This window comes from Homo sapiens, chromosome 12 (genome assembly GCF_000001405.40).
Source record: "Homo sapiens chromosome 12, GRCh38.p14 Primary Assembly".
Taxonomy (NCBI): Eukaryota; Metazoa; Chordata; class Mammalia; order Primates; family Hominidae; genus Homo; species Homo sapiens.
Genome location: NC_000012.12, coordinates 75,569,695 through 75,588,535, shown reverse-complemented (window position 1 = coordinate 75,588,535; position 18,841 = coordinate 75,569,695). Strand labels below are relative to the sequence as shown.

Sequence of the window (18,841 nt, the reverse complement as noted above, 5' to 3'; positions counted from 1 at the left end):
AAATCTCATCTTGAATTGTAGCTCCCATAATTCCCATGTGTTGTGGGAGGTACCTGGTGAGACATAATTGAATCATGGTGGCGGTTTCCTCCATACTGTTCTCGTGGTAGTGAATAAGTCTCACAAGATCTGATGATTTTATAAGGGGTTTCCCTTTTCGCTTGGCTCTCATTCTCTCTCTTTGCCAGCCACCATGTAAGATGTCCCATTGCTCTTCCTTTGTCTTTCACCATGATTGTGAGGCCTCCACAGCCATGTGGAACTGGGAGTCAATGAAACCTCTTTTTGTTATAAATTACCCAGTCTCAGGTGTGTCTTTATCAGCAGCGTGAAAACGGACTATTACAGATGTGGTCTATATACGCCTCACCATTCTCTGAATACATTTTTAATTTTCCCCATCTTCTCCACAGTAACTGATAGTTTTTGTTGTTTGCTTTTTAGTTTTCAACTATTACCGGGGGGGACATTATTATATAAGTTATCAACAGATGACACACTGTCATGCATAGGGATGTTAAGCCACTTTGTAGGCAGAGGAAATATTCAGAAGAAGGCCATGGGGCATGGTGAGAAACAGAGCATCTGAAGTAAAAACTACTTTCAGTAAAGCCAACTTCATTTGTTTCTGTGACTCATCAGTTTGTATTTTAAAAGGCCCAAAGCCTTGCCATCAAAGATCTGAAATCATTCATCTCTAGTCCAGAGCCAAGCATAGTAAAGAATGGGTACTCAAGAAAGGCTTACTCTTTGTTCTGGGGGTTGGCAAACCTTGTTTGTTATGGTGGCTGTTGTTGTTTAATTATGACACTAAGACTAATATAACTGAATAGAAAGCAAAAATTAGAAGCGGTAATGGGAGAAAGCCATTAACCTTCAGCTTTTCCTGTCCTGAGAACTGTTAGGTCATTGCCTTTACTTTTCAGTCCTTCAAATTGTTACTCGTTTGTTGCAACAGATTCCTCAGGGCATAATCAAAAGCTGGCAGATGTCTATCACTCTTTGGATAGATGAGAAAGAGCAACCAGGCCAACTGCAGAAGCACATTACTGGCAGAAGGGCTGCTGTAAGCAAAGGCAAAGAGGTGCCTGCAGGTCCCACATTGCCCAGGGGAAGATGGTGTTTTAAAGGAACCGTTCTCACCTGACCTAGTTAGAAGGCTACATATTATCATTCATTATCCAATTCCATTTTCCATTTACCATATTTACTTTTATTTCCCCAGAAACCCTTTTTTTTCTGCCTAAATAGGAGACATGAGAGAGGAAGGCAGCAACCAAGGCAGACAAATCTGACAAAATAGTATCAGGACGAGGGTGAATGGCGACATGCAACAATATTTGAGGTGTTTTGGTGTGGTTTTTAAATTATTATTATTATTTTTCTCTTGAATGTTTTTAGGTGTTTAAGTGCATATAAATGAGACGATTCTATGAAACTCGCAAAAAAATTCTGACCAAAGAGAGTCTATCAGGGCACACTGTCAAAGGTTCTAAGCCAGGGATCCCAATATCTCTCAAAATTGCCCTCAATGGAGTCAATGATAGAAAGGTCTTATAGGGAAAGAGAAAATGCAAAAATGGGGGCAATGGCTCCACACTGAATTGTTGATATTTCTATTTATTGTCTCTGTGCAGTGGAGCAGAGACCACACCAAGAGCCAAAAACCCAAATCTAGACTGGCCTCACATCTCATAGACGAGCTTAGAGTGGAACTGCTCACCTGCAGGAAAGAACACAGCAAGCAGGAACTATGCTGTGGTGTTGTCTTGCTTGGCCATCACATCCCTGCTTTTATAAGTGATTCTGTGGTCTTCTACTTTTTCTTCTCCATTCCTCAAGTAAACCCACTGAAGTAAGCATGATTTGTTTTTCCTTTCTTATCAGTTTTCAAAAGAAAGCACATCTTTAAAACTCTTGAAATGTTTACAAGGATTTCTTGTGCAATGAAGGGAAAATAGAAAATACAGACAAACAAAGATATACATGTATCTTAAAATCACTTATAATCTCACTTCTCAAAAATAACTATTAATACTATAAGTATTTGTAAGGAATTTCTGTCCTGAAGCCTTTCTTTCAAGGAAACAAGAAAAAAAACTTACGTCCTTTCCAACATGAACATACACATGGAGGCATTAATGTATATGTGCTCATCTATAAGCTGCCTTTCTCTCTTAGCAATAAGTTAGTTAATGTTTTTAAGGCTGATTGTAAAATCTCAAAATAAATTTATAAGTGTTAAATTTTAGCTTTTCTCAAAAATTTTTCAAATGATTCTGAGAGTTTCCTGGGACATCTCATATGAACTCTAAAAACAATCTTCTCTGCTATTTTCCTCTGTCTCCTTCATTGCTTTATCCTATTCCTATTAACAGCCCAAGTGTGGCTATATCTTCCTCCCCTTCCCTTTTCCAGCAACAGGATCTTTGCTGCTGGTGGTGGCATCTGATGTCTGGGAAAATGTTCCTGATGCTTAGTGCCCAAGATATAGTGGTCACCCCTTATCTGCAGAGGATACATTCCAAGACCCCCCAGTGGATGCCTGAAACCTTGGATAGGACAGAACCCAACTGCCATCCATTGGAACACATTTGTGTTCATGGCTTCCACCTACAAATTTAATGCCTTTTGCATCTTAACTAAGCACTCATCATACACTGTGATAAATTTTTGCAGTTTGAGGTACATCAGCAAAACTAGTACAAATTTCTTTTTCCTTCTTTACAATTTCCTGGATAGAAGATTTGTTCTTATTGTAGATCTTAGCAACCTCTGCATTTGATTTTGTTTCTTTCCTTAAGTTGAGAACTTTCACCTTTCCACTTAAAGGAAGCGCTTTACAGCTTCTCGTTGGCATATCTGAATTGCTAGCATCACAACTCTTGCACTTTGGGGCCATTATTAGATAAAATAAGGGTTGCTTGAACACGAGCAGTGTGATAGTACAATGGTTGATCTAATAACTGAGATGGCTACTAAGTGACTCATAGGCTGGTGGCATGTATAGCATGAAAACGCTGGAAAAAAAGATGATTCACATCCCAAGCAAGATGGAGAATAGCACACAGTTTAAAATTTATGAGTTGCTTATTTTTGGAATTTTTCCATTTATTATTTTTAGACTGTTTTGACCATGAATAATAGAAAGCACCAAAAGCTAAACTGAAATCAGTGGGGGCTAGTGTATATATATCTGCACTAAGTGCCATGTCCTACTTTTATTAATGTCATTGAAACTAACAGAGTTGTTTTTTCGCTCTTAGTGTACCTGATTTTTTGTCCTTTATTCTTTTTATTGAAGCTTCCCTTTCCCTAGAACTTACGCATTCATCTGCTCATTTGGTCAACAGATAAATGAATGAGGTATTAGGAAAAAAGTAGACAGCAAGACAGACATGGTGCCTGGCCTCTTGGAACTGATAAAATAAAAACTTCAGCTGAATTAAATTGAAAGGGATTTAATTGAGCAATGAACGATTCGCGAATTGGATGGCCTTCCCAGCCAGAGTAGGCTCAGGGACTCCAGCGCAGCCATGTGTGGAAGAAGATTTATGGACAAAAAATGGAAAGTGGCATATAGAGAACAGAATTGAGGTACAGAAATAGCTGGATTGGTTACAGCTTGGCATTTGCCTTATTTGAACACGGTTTGAACAGTTGGCTACGTTTGATTGGCCAAAGCTCAGTGATTGGCACAAGTGCAGGCTACAGTCTGTATACACCTCCACTTGTTATAGTTCATGGCATACAAAGAAACCCTTAGGTTGAACCTAAAATATGTAAGGAGACAGCGTTAGGCTGAACTTAACAGAGCCTATAGTCAAGTAGAAGAAACAACCATTAGCTTGTAAACACACCAACAAATGTGTATTTTACTAGGAAGGAAGACTGCAGATGCTATGTGGAAGAATAATAGAGAAAGCACCGTTTAAGTTGTGGACTCGAGGAGGCTGCTCTCAGGAAGTGAGTCCATGGGTGCTGGGAAAATGATAACCTGAGAATCAAGTACCGTCTTGTCTGAAAATCATTTCCACCCTGGTGCTCTAGCCCATTTTCCTAGAGGTCACCTTATGGACCCAGCCTCTCCTCTTACAATGTGCTTTTTTCCAAGATTCCTTGTCCTTCGATGAAAGAGTTCTGCAAGCCGTCCTCTCAAATCTAATTTCTCAGAATCCTAAAATAAACTCAGTTTACAAACACAGTTCAAATCAATTCATTTTTATACACCTTGATGTACAGCGATGGATAGAAATAGCTTCTCAATAAAGAAAATCTAATTATCCAGTCTAGAAGATACTTATAATCAAAGAAACTGCTTGATGAGATATCTATTAGAGTGTTGGTTTTGTTGTATTTTGTTTTGTTTGAGACAGGATCTCACTCTGTTGCCCAGGCTGGAGTGCAGTGGCACAATCACAGCTCACTGCAGCCTCTACCTCCCGGGCTCAAGCTGTCCTCCCACTTCAGTCTCCCACATAGCTCGGACCACGGGCACGTGCCACCGTACCCAGCTAATTTTTGTGTTTTTGGTAGAGACAGAGTTTCGCCATGTTGCCCAGGCTCTGTTAGAGTGCTTATTACTACTCATTGCTACTGTGTAATACAAGGATCATATGATAGCTTTTGCAACTGTAAAAGAATAATGGATTAGAAAGAAAAATAATTTTTCTTCTCAAACAGATTTCCTTTTGTCCTTTGAATAACAGAGTTTTCACATGAGGGACAGAGGAAGACAGAGAAAGATGGAGGGAGGGAGGGAGAGAAATCACAAAGCCTGCTCCGAGAGAGAGAGAGAGAGAGCACTAAATGGTTATAGCATTTTAAGTACCAAGGTTCTTACCGCTCCTCAGCTTTTTCTGGCTTAATGACCTAATATGAATGAGATAAAGTTATACTCCACTACCTTTGATTTATAGAGTTAGGCAAATGTCTCCTGCTCCATTTTTTTCAGCAATTTCATTTTTGTTTAATGACATTTCTCTCTCCTCTCCTTCTCTATACATAGACTGGGTGACAGGGGCTGATAATGGGTAATGAGTTGTTTCATAATAGAAGTTTATAATGTTAGCCACATAAAGACTTCCCCCATTCACAGGAGCCATTTATGTAAATATGTGAAGAAATTATAGGTCTGCCATGTCTTAGGAGAACAGCACCTCGAAGCCTGGCATTTTAAAACAGCTTTTAGACTCCTGAGCATAACTTCGGTGCAGAAATGAAAAGATATGCATACACAGCTCAGTGAATTGTCAGTGGCATGTCGTGAATTAGAGCATCACTCAAGAGGCTGTTTCTCTGCTCATTACTAAATCTGCAATTTTTTTTTTTTACCATGGCACTTTATGATGTTAAATCATGAAGCTACCTCCAAAAAAAATCTTATAAAACTATTTTTTCCTGTAATCTCAGCTACTGGGGAGGCTGAGACAGGAGAATCTCTTGAATCTAGGAGGCAGAGGTTGCAGTGAGCTGAGATTACGATACTGCACTCCAGCCTGAAACTATTTTTTCCCTCAAACTACTTTGGATATAATTTCCTGTTTCTCGGGAGGCACTTCTTATAGTTTAAGTTACCTAAAATGTCACCTTGTTGTATGATTGCATTGTTCTGCGTTGGTGAATTTTTCATGTGCTTTCCCAGGCTTGATCCTGCAGTTATCAGTGGAGTGAGAAGCCAAAAAAGAGGCGAGGGGCTGGGGTGCAGAAGAGGGTGATGTAAATACCTGTGCCAACCCTGAAGCAGCCCCTTCAATTCTAGATGCTGTCAGCTGGAGATGCTGTCAAAGTTTATATTCCTTCAGCTGGACAAGATGTTGAAGATACACTTGCTTCAAGAACACCCTCATATCCTTGACAGAATAGCACATTCTTTTCCCTGTTACTCTGAACGTATAAGTCCATATTTAAGGCAACAATTATGTGAACTGTCAGTCTTTCATCAACAAGAGAGATGATATTGAGACTCATTGTGATAATATTACTATTCCAGTATATGTAAAATCTTGTGAAAAAGACTACTTACTGCTCAAGCAAAATTTTGCCTTTCACAAAAAATTTCCTCTGATTGTTCAATCAGTTGGTATTGTGAAAACCTGGAACTTCTTTATGAAATGCAGTATTCTGAAATGGACTTAAAATTGACCATTTTGCAGACATAATGGCAAGTGTATTTCATCAGAAATAATAATAGCTATACCGTGTATTGATCGTTTATTCTCTGCCACACAATCATGCCATCTATGTGATCTTTCTTAATCCTTACGATAACCTGTGAGTAAGGAAGCTGTTATTATTCTTGTATCATAGATGGAAAAGCTGAGGTTAGAAAGGTGAAGTAACATGTTCAATTTCATGTGCCTAGAAAGTGGTGGAGCCAGGATGTGACCTCCTTTCTGTCTGATCACAAAGCTGATGCCCTAATCACTAACTTCAACCTCACAGAATTAACATTACATGACAGATTTTGGAAAATGGTTTGGTTGGCTCAAAAGTGAAAGTGTTGCTGAAGTAAGAATATGGTAGAATTTTCTTTCAGAAACTTTCAGAAAGTATTCATACTTGCTATAAACTGAATGCTTGTGTTTCCCCCAAATTTATATGTTGCAACTTAATCCCCAACCTAATGGCATTTGTGGGTGAGGCCTTTGGGAGTTCACGGTGGGGAGCCTCATTGAATGGCATCAGTGTCATTATAAAAGAGACTTCAAAGAGCTTCTTCACCCATTCCACCATGTGAAGACACAGCAAGAAGACAGCTGTGTCTACAAACCAGGAAGCAGGCCCTTACCAGACACCCAGTCTGCCCGTGCCTCGATCTTGAACTTTCCAGCCTCCTGAACTGTGAAAAATAAGTGTCTGTTGTTTAAGCCATCTGGTCTATGACATTTTTTATTATAGCAGCCCAAATAGACTAAGACAATACTCATTAACTTTCTGTCTGCTGTACATCCATTAGTTAGAAGATAAATATATATTTTGCTAGTTTTTTAAAAAGCCAATACTACATGATTCTCAACCTGGAAAAATAAAGTGGCTTGAGACGAGCAAGAATCCAGGTCACCTTTAAAATGCCTCAGCGCTTTTTAGCTATTTTTAAGTTAAGATATTTTTGTATGAATCCAATAATATAACCAGAATGTATTCAATAGCCATAAGCACTGAAAAATCTCACAGTGGTTCTAGGAGAAAACTTTCATTATTACTACCATTTTGTGGGCTAAAGAACAAGCATACTAAAATATTTTAGTACTGAATATAAAATAATGGCACTTAATATGTGCCATCTCTTAAGCACTTAATATGTGCCAGATACTCAACATGTGCCAGACATTCATTTTTTTCACATAGTAACTCTAAGAACTAGATACTTCCATGTTACAAATGATAAATTTGAGATAGAAAGTCACATAACTTCCCCTAGCTCATACAAAGTATCGGAGTCATGATGAAAGCCAGGCATCAAGTACAATCTCTATAGTCTACACTCCTGATCATTCTGTAACATGGCCTCTTCTTCTATATAGGCTTCTGTATTTACATATTAAACATACCATATGTTGCTATTATGTTTAAATTGTATATTACATTTATTTTCTGGAGTCACTTTCCATGGTGACTAAAATTCATAATGGTGGCTATGGCTCAAATTTCTTTTTTTTTTTCTTTTTCTTTTCTTTTCTTTCTTTTTTTTTTTTTTTCCAGACAGAGTCTCACTCTGTTGCCCAGGCTGGAGTGCAGTGGCACCATCTCAGCTCACTGCAACTTCCGCCTCATGGGTTCAAGTGATCCTTGTGCCTCAGCAACCCAGACAGCTGGGATTATAGGCATAAGCCACCATACCCGGATAATTTTTGTATTTTTAGTAGACACGGGGTTTTCCAATATTGGCCAGGTTGGTCTCAAATTCCTGACCTCAAGTGATCTGCCCACCTCAGCCTCCCAAAGTGTTGAGATTACAGATGTGAGCCACCACGCCCAGTTCAAATTTCTATAATTATCTGATTTGTTCAGTAGCATTTTTGGTTTTTATTTCTTCCAGGACAGAATCATTATGATATTATGCTTTTTCAGTTCATTCATTAATTTGTCCAGTGTGTACTGCCTGTGCTAGCTATAACACACTCTACTAGACCTTTGAGGGAGTTGCAAAGATTATTACTGCTTTCAGCAACCCACGACTTGAGGGAGAAGGCAGTGTGATGGAGTAAGGCACAGCTAGCTTGACGACAGTATAGGATAAAGTAAGACAGGAACATAGGTGAGAATTAAGCATTTAGAAGTTGAAAGATGGGATTCAGTTTGATCAGGATAGGGGTCAGGAAAGACTTGTGAAGGCGATGCCATTGAGGATGGTTCTCAGCATTCTCTCCTCTATGATGAGAGAATAAAATGCAGTGGATGAGGATGTCCTCAGGGATGAACCTTTGCTATCAGGGATGTTACATTTGGAAGGGATCTCAGAGACACTGCGCTTAATTCTCTCATCATAAAGGAAAGAATGCTGAGAACCAGAAACGTTGAGTGATTTCCCAAGGTCACACTCACCCATCTGTAACCTCTACTTCAATTTCAAATCTGAATGCTTGTTTAATGCTTTTTAAAAAACAGTTTTGACAGATTTGTCCTGATTTTAGTGCTAGTTACCTGACTCACGTCTTAAGGATACTCTCGAGGACCAAATAAAATAAAATAAGATGTAGTAATTAGGAAAAATCATTACGGAAAAGTAATGCTGACTAGTCAACTCTAATGTAGAGTCTGACAGATTTAGTGCCAAGTCAGGCTTGGAAGAGAAGAGGAAGTAGCAGATGGAGTTTTATGCTGGTAATGACAGCAGGTGGGAAACAGGTAATAGCAAACAGATGGGCCCCATAGTATATAAAGACCACCAGCATCTCATTTTCTAATGCTTTGTTCCCAAATAGTAGTAAGATTCAATTGAGTTCTTGTAAAAATCTTATTGAACACAAACTCACTATTAGGTATAATGTTAGGTATCACAGAGGGACAGTTTAAAAATAAAACTGTTACTATACTGAAGCTCAAGAAAAGTAGGAAATATGACACAAGTACAAAAAAAGAACAATATAATACAGAAGAGCACAAATAAATGCTGCAAAAGAAACACAAAGTGTAGGATGAATCTGGTCTATAAGGGTAAAGGAGTCAGAAAGCAAACAAAAATGTTCAGACAAAGAAAGGCTCAGAAGCAGGTAAATGCCAGAGAGGATTTGCTTAATTGTGAATGGCACAACACTGCTAGAGACAAGCAAACATGTGTCATGGAAGAGCAGAATAATTAGGTGGTACAGACCCCTAAACATCACTGTCTGGCTTGGAACAAGACACTCAAACCCTCTCACCTTCCATTTCTTTATTTCTAAAATGAGATAGTTTCCATAACCACTTCCAGGTTTAGGAGTTAGTAATCTCTAATATAGAATCTCCTTAAATTTCTTAGTCTAATATTTCCCAAAGTATGAGGTGTGTGATCCCAGTGAAATGGAGATTTTAAAGAGTACATATGTAATATTTATGTTAGTAATTACATAATTTTTAGTAAGGTTGTCTTGTATTTAAAGCAAGTGATAGTGATTTTCATTTTTGTAGTGTTAGAAGTTTTCTTTAAAATTTTTATTTAAGTGAAAAATGTGTATCAAGTTATAGAAAAAATTTAACTATTTCCATTGATGTGTCACATTTTCAATTCATACATGTTTTCTGTGCATACTATAACGTAGCTGTGTTTGTTTTGCTATCATCGATTCATTCATTCACTGAACAAATATTTATAGAGTACCAACCATGTGTCCTGCTCTAGGCAGCATTGACAATCTGGTAAACAAAACAAACAAAATCTTTGCCCTGTGGAACCATCATTCTTGTAAAGTGAGATTGACAGTAACAATAAACATGACAAAAAAGTAAATTATATAGGGTCTTAGTAGGTGATAAGTGCTAGAAAAAAAATAGAACAAGACAGGAGGACTGGGAGGGCTAAGAGGTATGTGATAGATGAGATGGTCAAGTAGTCTCTTTAGGGAGGAGCCATTTTATCAAAAATTTCAAAGAGATGAGGGAATGAGCCATGTGAATATTTTAGGGGAGGAATAATATTACACTTTACTTACCACTGAGTAAAACTGATGTTCCTACACCCTGGGCTCACATATGCCCATCGTTATTAGGGGAGAAACATATTAGAACAAAGCTTAAATTCATGATGACATCTCTGTGCCAGGTATATTCTAATTTGAGACACAATTTGAAATGCTAGAGGGACATCTTATGGAGAAACCCAACAAGCCAATGGATATATGGAGGCGATATCTGGAATTTGAAGTAGACTTTGGGGTCATTTTTATAGCTTTTATTTTTAAAACTGTGATATTGCCAAGAAAAAGGGATAAAACAGAACCTTAGCAACCTGTTACTTCTGTAAGGGATGGGAGGGTGGACAGAGATGGAGGAAACTAACTTGTGTTATGTGCCAGGCCCCAAGCTAGCAAGGCAGTTTGCATACACTATGCATTGATTGCACAAGAAGTAGGCAATGAATATGTAATAAACATGTTTATTTTTCAAGGAGTTTTCTGGGAGAGGTGAAAGAAGCTAGTGGTGGGCAAATCTGTGGTCTCTAATATATGTAATGGCTCCGTCTATAACGTCTATAATGGATGTAATGGCTCACGTCTATAATCCCAACATTTTAGGAGGCCGAGCCAGGAGGGTTGCTTGAGCCCAGGAATTTGCCAGCCTGGGCAATATAAGGATTCCCCCATCTCTACAAATAACAATAAGAACAAAAAAAAGAGATTCCCCCATCTCTACAAATAATAATAAGAATAAAAAAAAGTTAGCCTGGCGTGGTGGCATTCACCTGCAGGCCTTGGGAAGCTTAGGTGGGAGAATCACTTAAACTCAGGAGTTTGAGGCTGCAGGGAGCTGTGATCATGCCACTGCATTCTAGCCCAGGTGACAAAGCAAGACCCTGTCTCTAAAAAAATAGTAATAATAAAATAAAGTGAGAAAACCCTGGGTCCAAATATTCACAGTGGAGCTGACTTACTTCTCTGAGCTGACTTCTTCCTCTAGAGCACAAGGCCAGTGACAGTAACTGCATCACTGGGTTGTTACGAGATAATGTATGTCAAATCTCCTGCTACATAGTAAGACCTCAGTAAATGCTGGCTATTCATTTAAAGTAAAATAAAAAGATAATATGGTAGCTTACAATAACAAATGAACTGCTTTTTATGGCTGTGTTATTTTAAAACCATGAGATATTTGAGCATTTTTATTTTTATACTAGCAATGAAGAAAAAATTCAGTTAAACAAGAACTTCCAGAATTAAACAAGTTTTTCTTACTTTTTGCAATTATTGAAAAATTCGAATGGGATCTGTTCTATTTTATTTTTTAAATTTGGTTGGTTTTACTCTCTCTTTTTAAAAACTGAAAATCCCTTTAGATTTTGGCTGTTCTCTGTAGAAAAATACATATAAATATGCTAAAAAAATTTCCAAAATTTGGAAATAAAGCAAAATGATAACTATGACATTCCCAAGTTTTGCTTGAGCAGTGTCCAATAAGCCTGATGAAGGCTCATCTGATTCTTGAAATATAGCTTTGCCTGATTACTGTTTACTATTGATTAGAGTCCAAATTATAAAATTACTTCTTAACTTGTAGAAATTTCATTGGATGACAATGATTTTTGTCCAGATGAGATGCCAATGATTTCTCTCTAAAAGGGAGATAATTCTAAAATTTATGTTTTGATTGTCGTGTAGTACATTAACCAGTTTTGAATCTAATTTAGCAATCATATTCCCGCATTCTTTCTTATACTTTCATTGGTGACTTACATCCTTCTTTGAACTATTTTTGACATCCCGCTGGATCCTCATTAATAACTTAAGTAAATCTTTGTCATACTATGCTCACTATGAATTTGTATGAGAGTTACATTTGTAACTTATTATTATTATTATTATTTTTGAGATGGAGTCTCGCTTTGTCACCAGGCTGGAGTGCAGCGGCGCAATCTTGGCTCACTGCAACCTCTGGCTCCCTGGTTCAAGCAATTCTCCTGCCTCAGCCTCCTGAGTAGCTGGGATTATAGGTGCGTGCCACCATGCCCAACTAATTTTGGTATTTTTAGTAGAGACGGGGTTTCACCACGTTGGCCAGGATGGTCTTGATCTCCTGGCCTCATGATCTGCCCGCTTTTATTGTTGTTTGAGAGGGAGTCTCGCTATGTTGCCCATGCTGGAGTGCAGTGGCGTGATCTCAGCTCACTGCAATCTCTGCCTCCTGGGTTCAAGCGATTCTCCTGCCTCAGTCTCCTGAGTAACTGCGATTACGGGAGCATGCCACCATGCCCAGCTAATTTTTTGTATTTTTAGTAGAGACAGGGTTTTACCACATTGGGCAGGCTGGTCTTGAACTCCTGACCTCAAGTAATCCACCCGCCTCAGCCTCCCAAAGTGCAAGGATTACAGGCATGAGCCACGGCACCTGGCCATACATTTATAACTTTAAAAAAATTATACTTTAACATACAATGTATCAGGGTTTAAGCAAAACCATACACGCTTATTAGTTTATACAGTTATTAAAATATATATTTATAATATATTTTAGTATATTTAATATATAAATATATATTTATATTTTATTAACTGTATATAATATCACATATAATATGCATATATTTATATATAATGTATGTATATATTTATATATAAATATATAAGCAAATATTTATATTATATATTACATATAAATATATATTTACTTATATATAAGTAAATCTTTACACATATAAATATATATTTACATAAGTAAATATATATTTTTCAATTTTCAATTTCTTAATTTTCAATTAAGAAATATATATTTCTTAATTGTAGGGATTTGTCCTTACAGTGCTGTGGAAACTGGTGAAGAGGTCTGAGTTTGGATATAAAGCTGTAGTTTCTGGCCTGGTGCTGGCACCTGAAGTCCACAGACAGCTGGGCAAAGAAGATGGATGGGAAGCAGAGGAAGAAAAGGCAAGCTGAATGAAGGAGAAACTGGTGCCTTCCATCATGGAGCTAAATATGCATCTGGTCCAGGATTCAGGGAAATTGATGCAGCAGGAGGATCTGGCAGGAGCCCAGCTGCTGCCCCTCACCAACAAGGTGAGCTTGTGGATAAGTGACAACATGCATGAGTTCCAACAGTGCTTGGAGCCCTGCATCCATCTTCCAAGCATAAAAAAACAAGATGGCTACTGCTTCACTTCCACTTTCTACATCTTATGCAAAATGTCTCTTGAGGTCCACACTGTCCAAGAAATCTGCAGAAAAGACATATGGAAGACTTAGTTCTAAGCCAAGTTGATACAATAGACATCTATCACACACTATTTATCATAAGATTTGGTGAGGGACGGGGGGTTCACAGATGCCCTAAACCCCACTGATAGATAGCCTAGGGGTTTATGAGCCTTGGATTATTAAAAATCTCTCTTCTAGTGTTCATGATAATAGGAATGGCATCAGTGACTTAATTAAGAAAACATCACCTTCTGAATTTAGGCTGATCCGTGTCAATGAGTTTTAATAGCTGGAAAAATTTGTATTTTAGTTACCTTTCTAATTTTCTCTTCACTTGAGAGCCTGTCAATCTTCTCAGTACTCAGGAGTCAGTCTGTCAGTACTAAGGAGTCACATTCTTTACAATGCCTTTTTAAAATGTTAAGTTTTATTTCCTAATTTTTCAAGCAAATGCACATATTATTAAAAATGTATATGCCACTGACTTTAGTCATAATTAAATAAAATAAATGAGTGGTTTTTCTTTGAAATCAAATGTATCAGGTAATTTTAAGCCATGGAATTGTGTTTAAGTTATTGCCATTTATTTTGAATTTTTAAACTTATTGAGCACTGGGTCCTCCTTTATTCTTACTCTAGTTTTTCACTTTTGCCCTTATGAATCTTTTGAGTTAATAGAAAACCTTTCAGTTAGATTGTCTCTTGATCTTTTGACCAATCTTCAACTTCATAGAAAGTAGGTAGCCCCTGCCCATCTGCTTACTGACACAAGGAAAAGCCTTTCTATTGCTAGGTGCTATCTAGTGCTGGATAATAACAGCTGAGATATTGGGAGTTTTATGCAGTGCTACTTTATTGCTATGGGAACTTAGACAACTCTCTTTTCTGAAAACTGTTTTCACAAAAAAATTGCTTCATAGGATTTCACTAAACATCTTCCCATTGTCAGGTGGTTCTCAAAGTCTTACATCTTGTAATGAATGTGATTATCAAGTTTACATAAACATCGATAAAAAGAAAAGTCTTTTTCTTTTTACCCATTGTCCAATATGTACCTGAGATACTTTCTGGTATTATATCATGGAGGCGAAAAATAGCAGTTGATGGAAATATGGTATTAGTACAAAAAGTGATTTTGGATTTTTAAAACTGTATTCATTCAAAAATTATGTCCATTAAAAAATAATTCCTATAGATATTTAGTTAGAAAGTAAACAAGACTTCTTAGGTTCTGGCCTTATGATCTAAACAGAAAGTTTCATTCATGTATCTTATCTGTAAAATTACATTTGTAATTTCTTAATTTTCATAGAAAATGACCTCGTTTTAATTATTGGTCTTCTGGACTTAGGCATAGCATAGTGCTCTAAAATAGACAATACTCAAACACTTGCTTCATGAGAAAGGATGGAACAAATGAATAAATAAATTTATGATGCTCTCTAATTTCTAACATCAATTAATGTATTTATTCCTAAAGCACCTCCTCCAAACTGAAGCATAACCTCATTTCTACCCCAATGTGGCACACACTGTTGATACTGAGAGATGCAATGCAACTAGCTCCGTGTGGCAAGTCTGTAGGATCCCACAAATTACCGGGAGTACAGAAGTTCTGGTCCATTCTCAGAAGAATTCTCTAACCAAGGAAAACCAAAATCATGTTATTGCCATCACTGACAGTTCCAACTGCACCTGAGCACTGCTCTTCACTGTCTTACCCTGAAGTTTAAACCCTAGATTGAGCACCAACCTGTGCCCCCATCTTAAAATCTCATTAAATATCTAATTCATTCTTCGGCTTTCCCATATTAAAATAACTTATTACACACTCAAGCATCAGTTGCTTGTTTACCTCACACTGAAATATCCTCATGTGTTTTGCTAATCTCAAGACTTCTATACAACTCTACCTAGGAGGACCTAAACAGAATTAGCCCTACAAAAACTAGGAAGGAGGTGTCGTTTGCCTTGTGCACATTTCCCTCTTCCCATCTTATCTTCCACCACACTCTTCTTTCAAGCTATAAAGACACACTCTTTCTTGGCTATATGGTTATATTTTTCAAATATGTGTGTGTGTGTATGTGTGTGTTTATGGTAATGCTCCTCCTCTATACACACACACATGCACACACATGCACAGAATATATAGATATTTTTTCAAGTGTGTGTGTGTGGATGGTAATGCTCCCCCTCTATATACATACACATACACACATACACACACACACACGCACAGATGCACACTTAACTTTCAGTGGCTTCCATTCCTCTTAAGATAAAGGCCGAATCCTAGCAAGGCCTCCATGCCTCTGCATGCTCTTGTCCCAGCCTACTGTCTCTTCTCCCCATTGTCTCTGCCATCCATCCACACTGCATCTTTCAGTTTCTAGAATAAGCCATGCTCACTCCTGCCAGGAGAAGGGTCTTTTAATATACTGCTTAAAAAAAAATTTGTGTTACAATACACATAACCTACAATTCACCATTTTAACCATTTTAATTTGGACAACTCAATGGCATTTGAGTACATTCACAATGTTGTATAACTATCACCACAGTCAAGTTCCACAGTATTTCATAATCCCCAAAGAAAATCCATACCTACTAAATAGTCACTAGTCATTCCCTCCTACTCCCAGGCCTGGTAAACATTCATCTGACTTCTGTCTCTATGGATTTTCTATCTCTATCTCTATGGACATTTCATATAAATGGATTTATACAATACATGGCTTTTTGTGCCTGGCTTCTTTCACTTAACACAGTGTTTGTCATGTTCATCCATGGTGTAGCATTTATCGGTACTTCATTTCTTTTTATGACTAAATAACATTCCATTTTATGGATATTGAGCATACTGTTAATTTGCTCAGAATGAGTTTCCATCCTTCTCCTCACCTAGCTGTCTCTTGTTCATCCTTCAACAGTCAGCTCAATGATTACTTCCTCATTGGACTTTCTGAGACCCCAGCCTAGATGAAGTCATAGGCTTTTTAAGGCCCACCTTTCTCTTCTGCATAGATCTTCTCTCAGTCTGTAATTAAACACCCACTTAGGGGTTATTTGATTAATGGCTGTCTCCCCAGCTGGAATCTAAGATCCAGGAGGTAAGAAATCATGTCTATGTTAGTTCCATATTGTATTCCCAATAGCTTTTAGAGGGCCTGGTACATAAATAAACTTTTGTCAAATAAATGTTGTTGAAATTATTTCCTAGTAAGAAGTAAATAATTGGCAGCAGCTTAATGTTCTTTCATTCCCAATGGTATTTTGAGTTTGAATAGAAATAGTGCTGTCATAGAGAAATTTCATGGTGGAATTTCCCTGGCAGAGAATAAAGGCTGGATTGTTTTGGGGGAGAGACTTCTTCCTGCTCCTGAATTCCACTGCCCGATGCCTATAGCACCTGAAAGATCAGTTCTTGAGTCACCATTTAATCCGCTGTAAATATGTACTGCTTCCCTTTTATTTGAACTGAAAAACAGGCATATTTGGTTCTATTAACATTCTTATTTCTTCACTAGAAAAGTAGTGACCTGCTGTAAGTAATTATCCCTCATCCATCTTTCCTCTCCAATATTTATAACGTAAGCCTGATTGAAATTTGATGGGTTTCTTTGATGTCTGCAACTGAAGGATGCTTTTATTTGTAAATGGGATTGTAATTGTATGTTGGAATGTACCCTTCGTTAACTCAATGGGGCTGTCTTTTCCCAATCTTTTCCTGATATTCGTAATGGGTTTAAAAGTAGTCTTTCCTCTTTCATGCCCTTACGTTACCTCATACATAAACCATATCTTTTGTGCAAGTGTTTGCAGTCTACACAATGCTGTCCTGTTTTGGAGTAATTATGTCTGGAAAACTGCCAGTCATTATGTTCTTAAACTGATGGCAAATTCTTCTCTAGTATTTACAGACAGATGACAATTAAATTGAGGCCCTGATACAGTAAAAGCACAATTTAACAAATTTACTTGGTGGCAGCATTTTTATTTAAATTTTGTTTAATTACTCATGAGAAAAATTTTCTCCAGAATGATAGTTTTATGCTATAAATGAGCTGCCTGATATTTTTCTCAATTAGGCATCAGATTAAGGGACAGTTGTGCCAAGTGAATTGTATCATTTGCATGTAGAATTACTATTATTTCAGTTTTTGTTTATTATCCAGCTGATTATGTCAACCCAAAGAAAATTGGATATTTTTGTTCCAGGTATAGCTGAAGTCCTCTGATGTTTTTTTTCTCCCCAGGTGGGGTCAGTGGGGCTAGATATGGATAAAGTTAATCCTAACTTTAGGCTATTCTCTGAAGGTTGAGCTGTGAACACGTAATGGCTAAACATAAATATATTTCAAGAAACCTAAAAAAATATCAAAAGTGATCCCTGGACTCAAGTATTGCCAATAGCCTGATTAATTCTACTAATGTAGTAAATTAAAGAGAGATTATTTTTTAGCCAGAGAGGCATTGTTGGAAATGGAGCGCCAGAGGCAAACATTGGTAATTTAGATCTTGGTATTCAAGACTGACTCAGATCTTGCTATAGTCAGCTTAGTAATCAATTCACAATTGTATAGGTGGCTACCGGAGTCTCATAAGGTATGTTTTTTTCTTTAACAATACACAAAATCTCACATGTTCTGATCATAACTTGGCATCGCATGAATCTTATCTTTATGTGACTGGTAAAAGAATGTGCTAGTCAGGTTAACATGATTGCCCATTCATCTTGGGTGTTATAATTCTCATTGTATAAATTTAAAGATTTTTCTGCTTTTATATTCATCTTTGTGTTGTTTGAGAGAAAGAGAAGAAAACTGGACCAACTTTGGAATATAGACCAGTTTAAATTTTTGAGCTTGCAAGATTGAGAACAAGGACCTAAACACGGATGAATTCACCAAGAAAAAGCCAACCAGTAGGCATCTAGAGAGATGCTCCTGAGAAGGGTCAGCTGTCTCTGTTCACACAGCACTGTCTCTCTTACTGTAGGTCTTCTTTGAATTATTTATTTTATTCTTTCACTGGCTTCTGTAAGGGGATAGAGAGGCCTAATAGGAGTCATACATACACACATACAAAACTAAACAAAACAAAAAGTCTTTAGAATTCAAGGATCCTAAGTTGGAATATTCTTCCTGCGTCTGTCAAATGACATTAGACAAATAACATTTTTTCTTCAATTTCCTCATCTTTTTTTTTTTTTTTTTTTTTTTTTTTTTGAGATGGAGTCTTGCTCTGTCCCCCAGGCTGGAGTGCAGTGGCACAATCTCAGCTCACTGTAAGCTCCGCCTCCTGGGTTCAAGCGATTCTCCTGCCTCAGCCTCTTGAGTAGGTGGAATTATAGGCGCCCACCACCACGCCCAGCTAATTTTTTTTTGTATTTTTAGTAGAGATGGGGGTTTCACCATGTTGGTCAGGCTAGTCTCGAAATCCTGACCTTGTGATCTGCCCACCTAAGCCTCCCAAAGTGCTGGGATTACAGGCATGAGCCACCGCGCCTGGCC

The 18,841-nt window shown here is 37.6% G+C and overlaps 1 long non-coding RNA gene across 4 annotated transcripts in view; it reads left to right on the top strand.

Annotated features, from left to right (window-relative positions):
* The window catches only part of LOC105369844 (uncharacterized), a 310,508-nt gene that overhangs the window by 246,233 nt on the left and 45,434 nt on the right, over window positions 1-18,841 (top strand). Inside the window, exon 10 of one of the 4 annotated variants that reach the window (XR_007063375.1) lies at window positions 12,918-13,187. This is a non-coding gene — a long non-coding RNA (uncharacterized LOC105369844). Of the gene's footprint in view, window positions 1-3,882; window positions 4,205-12,917; window positions 15,157-18,841 lie in introns of those variants that run through there. The other 3 variants (XR_007063374.1, XR_007063376.1, XR_007063377.1) reach the window with 3 other exon arrangements.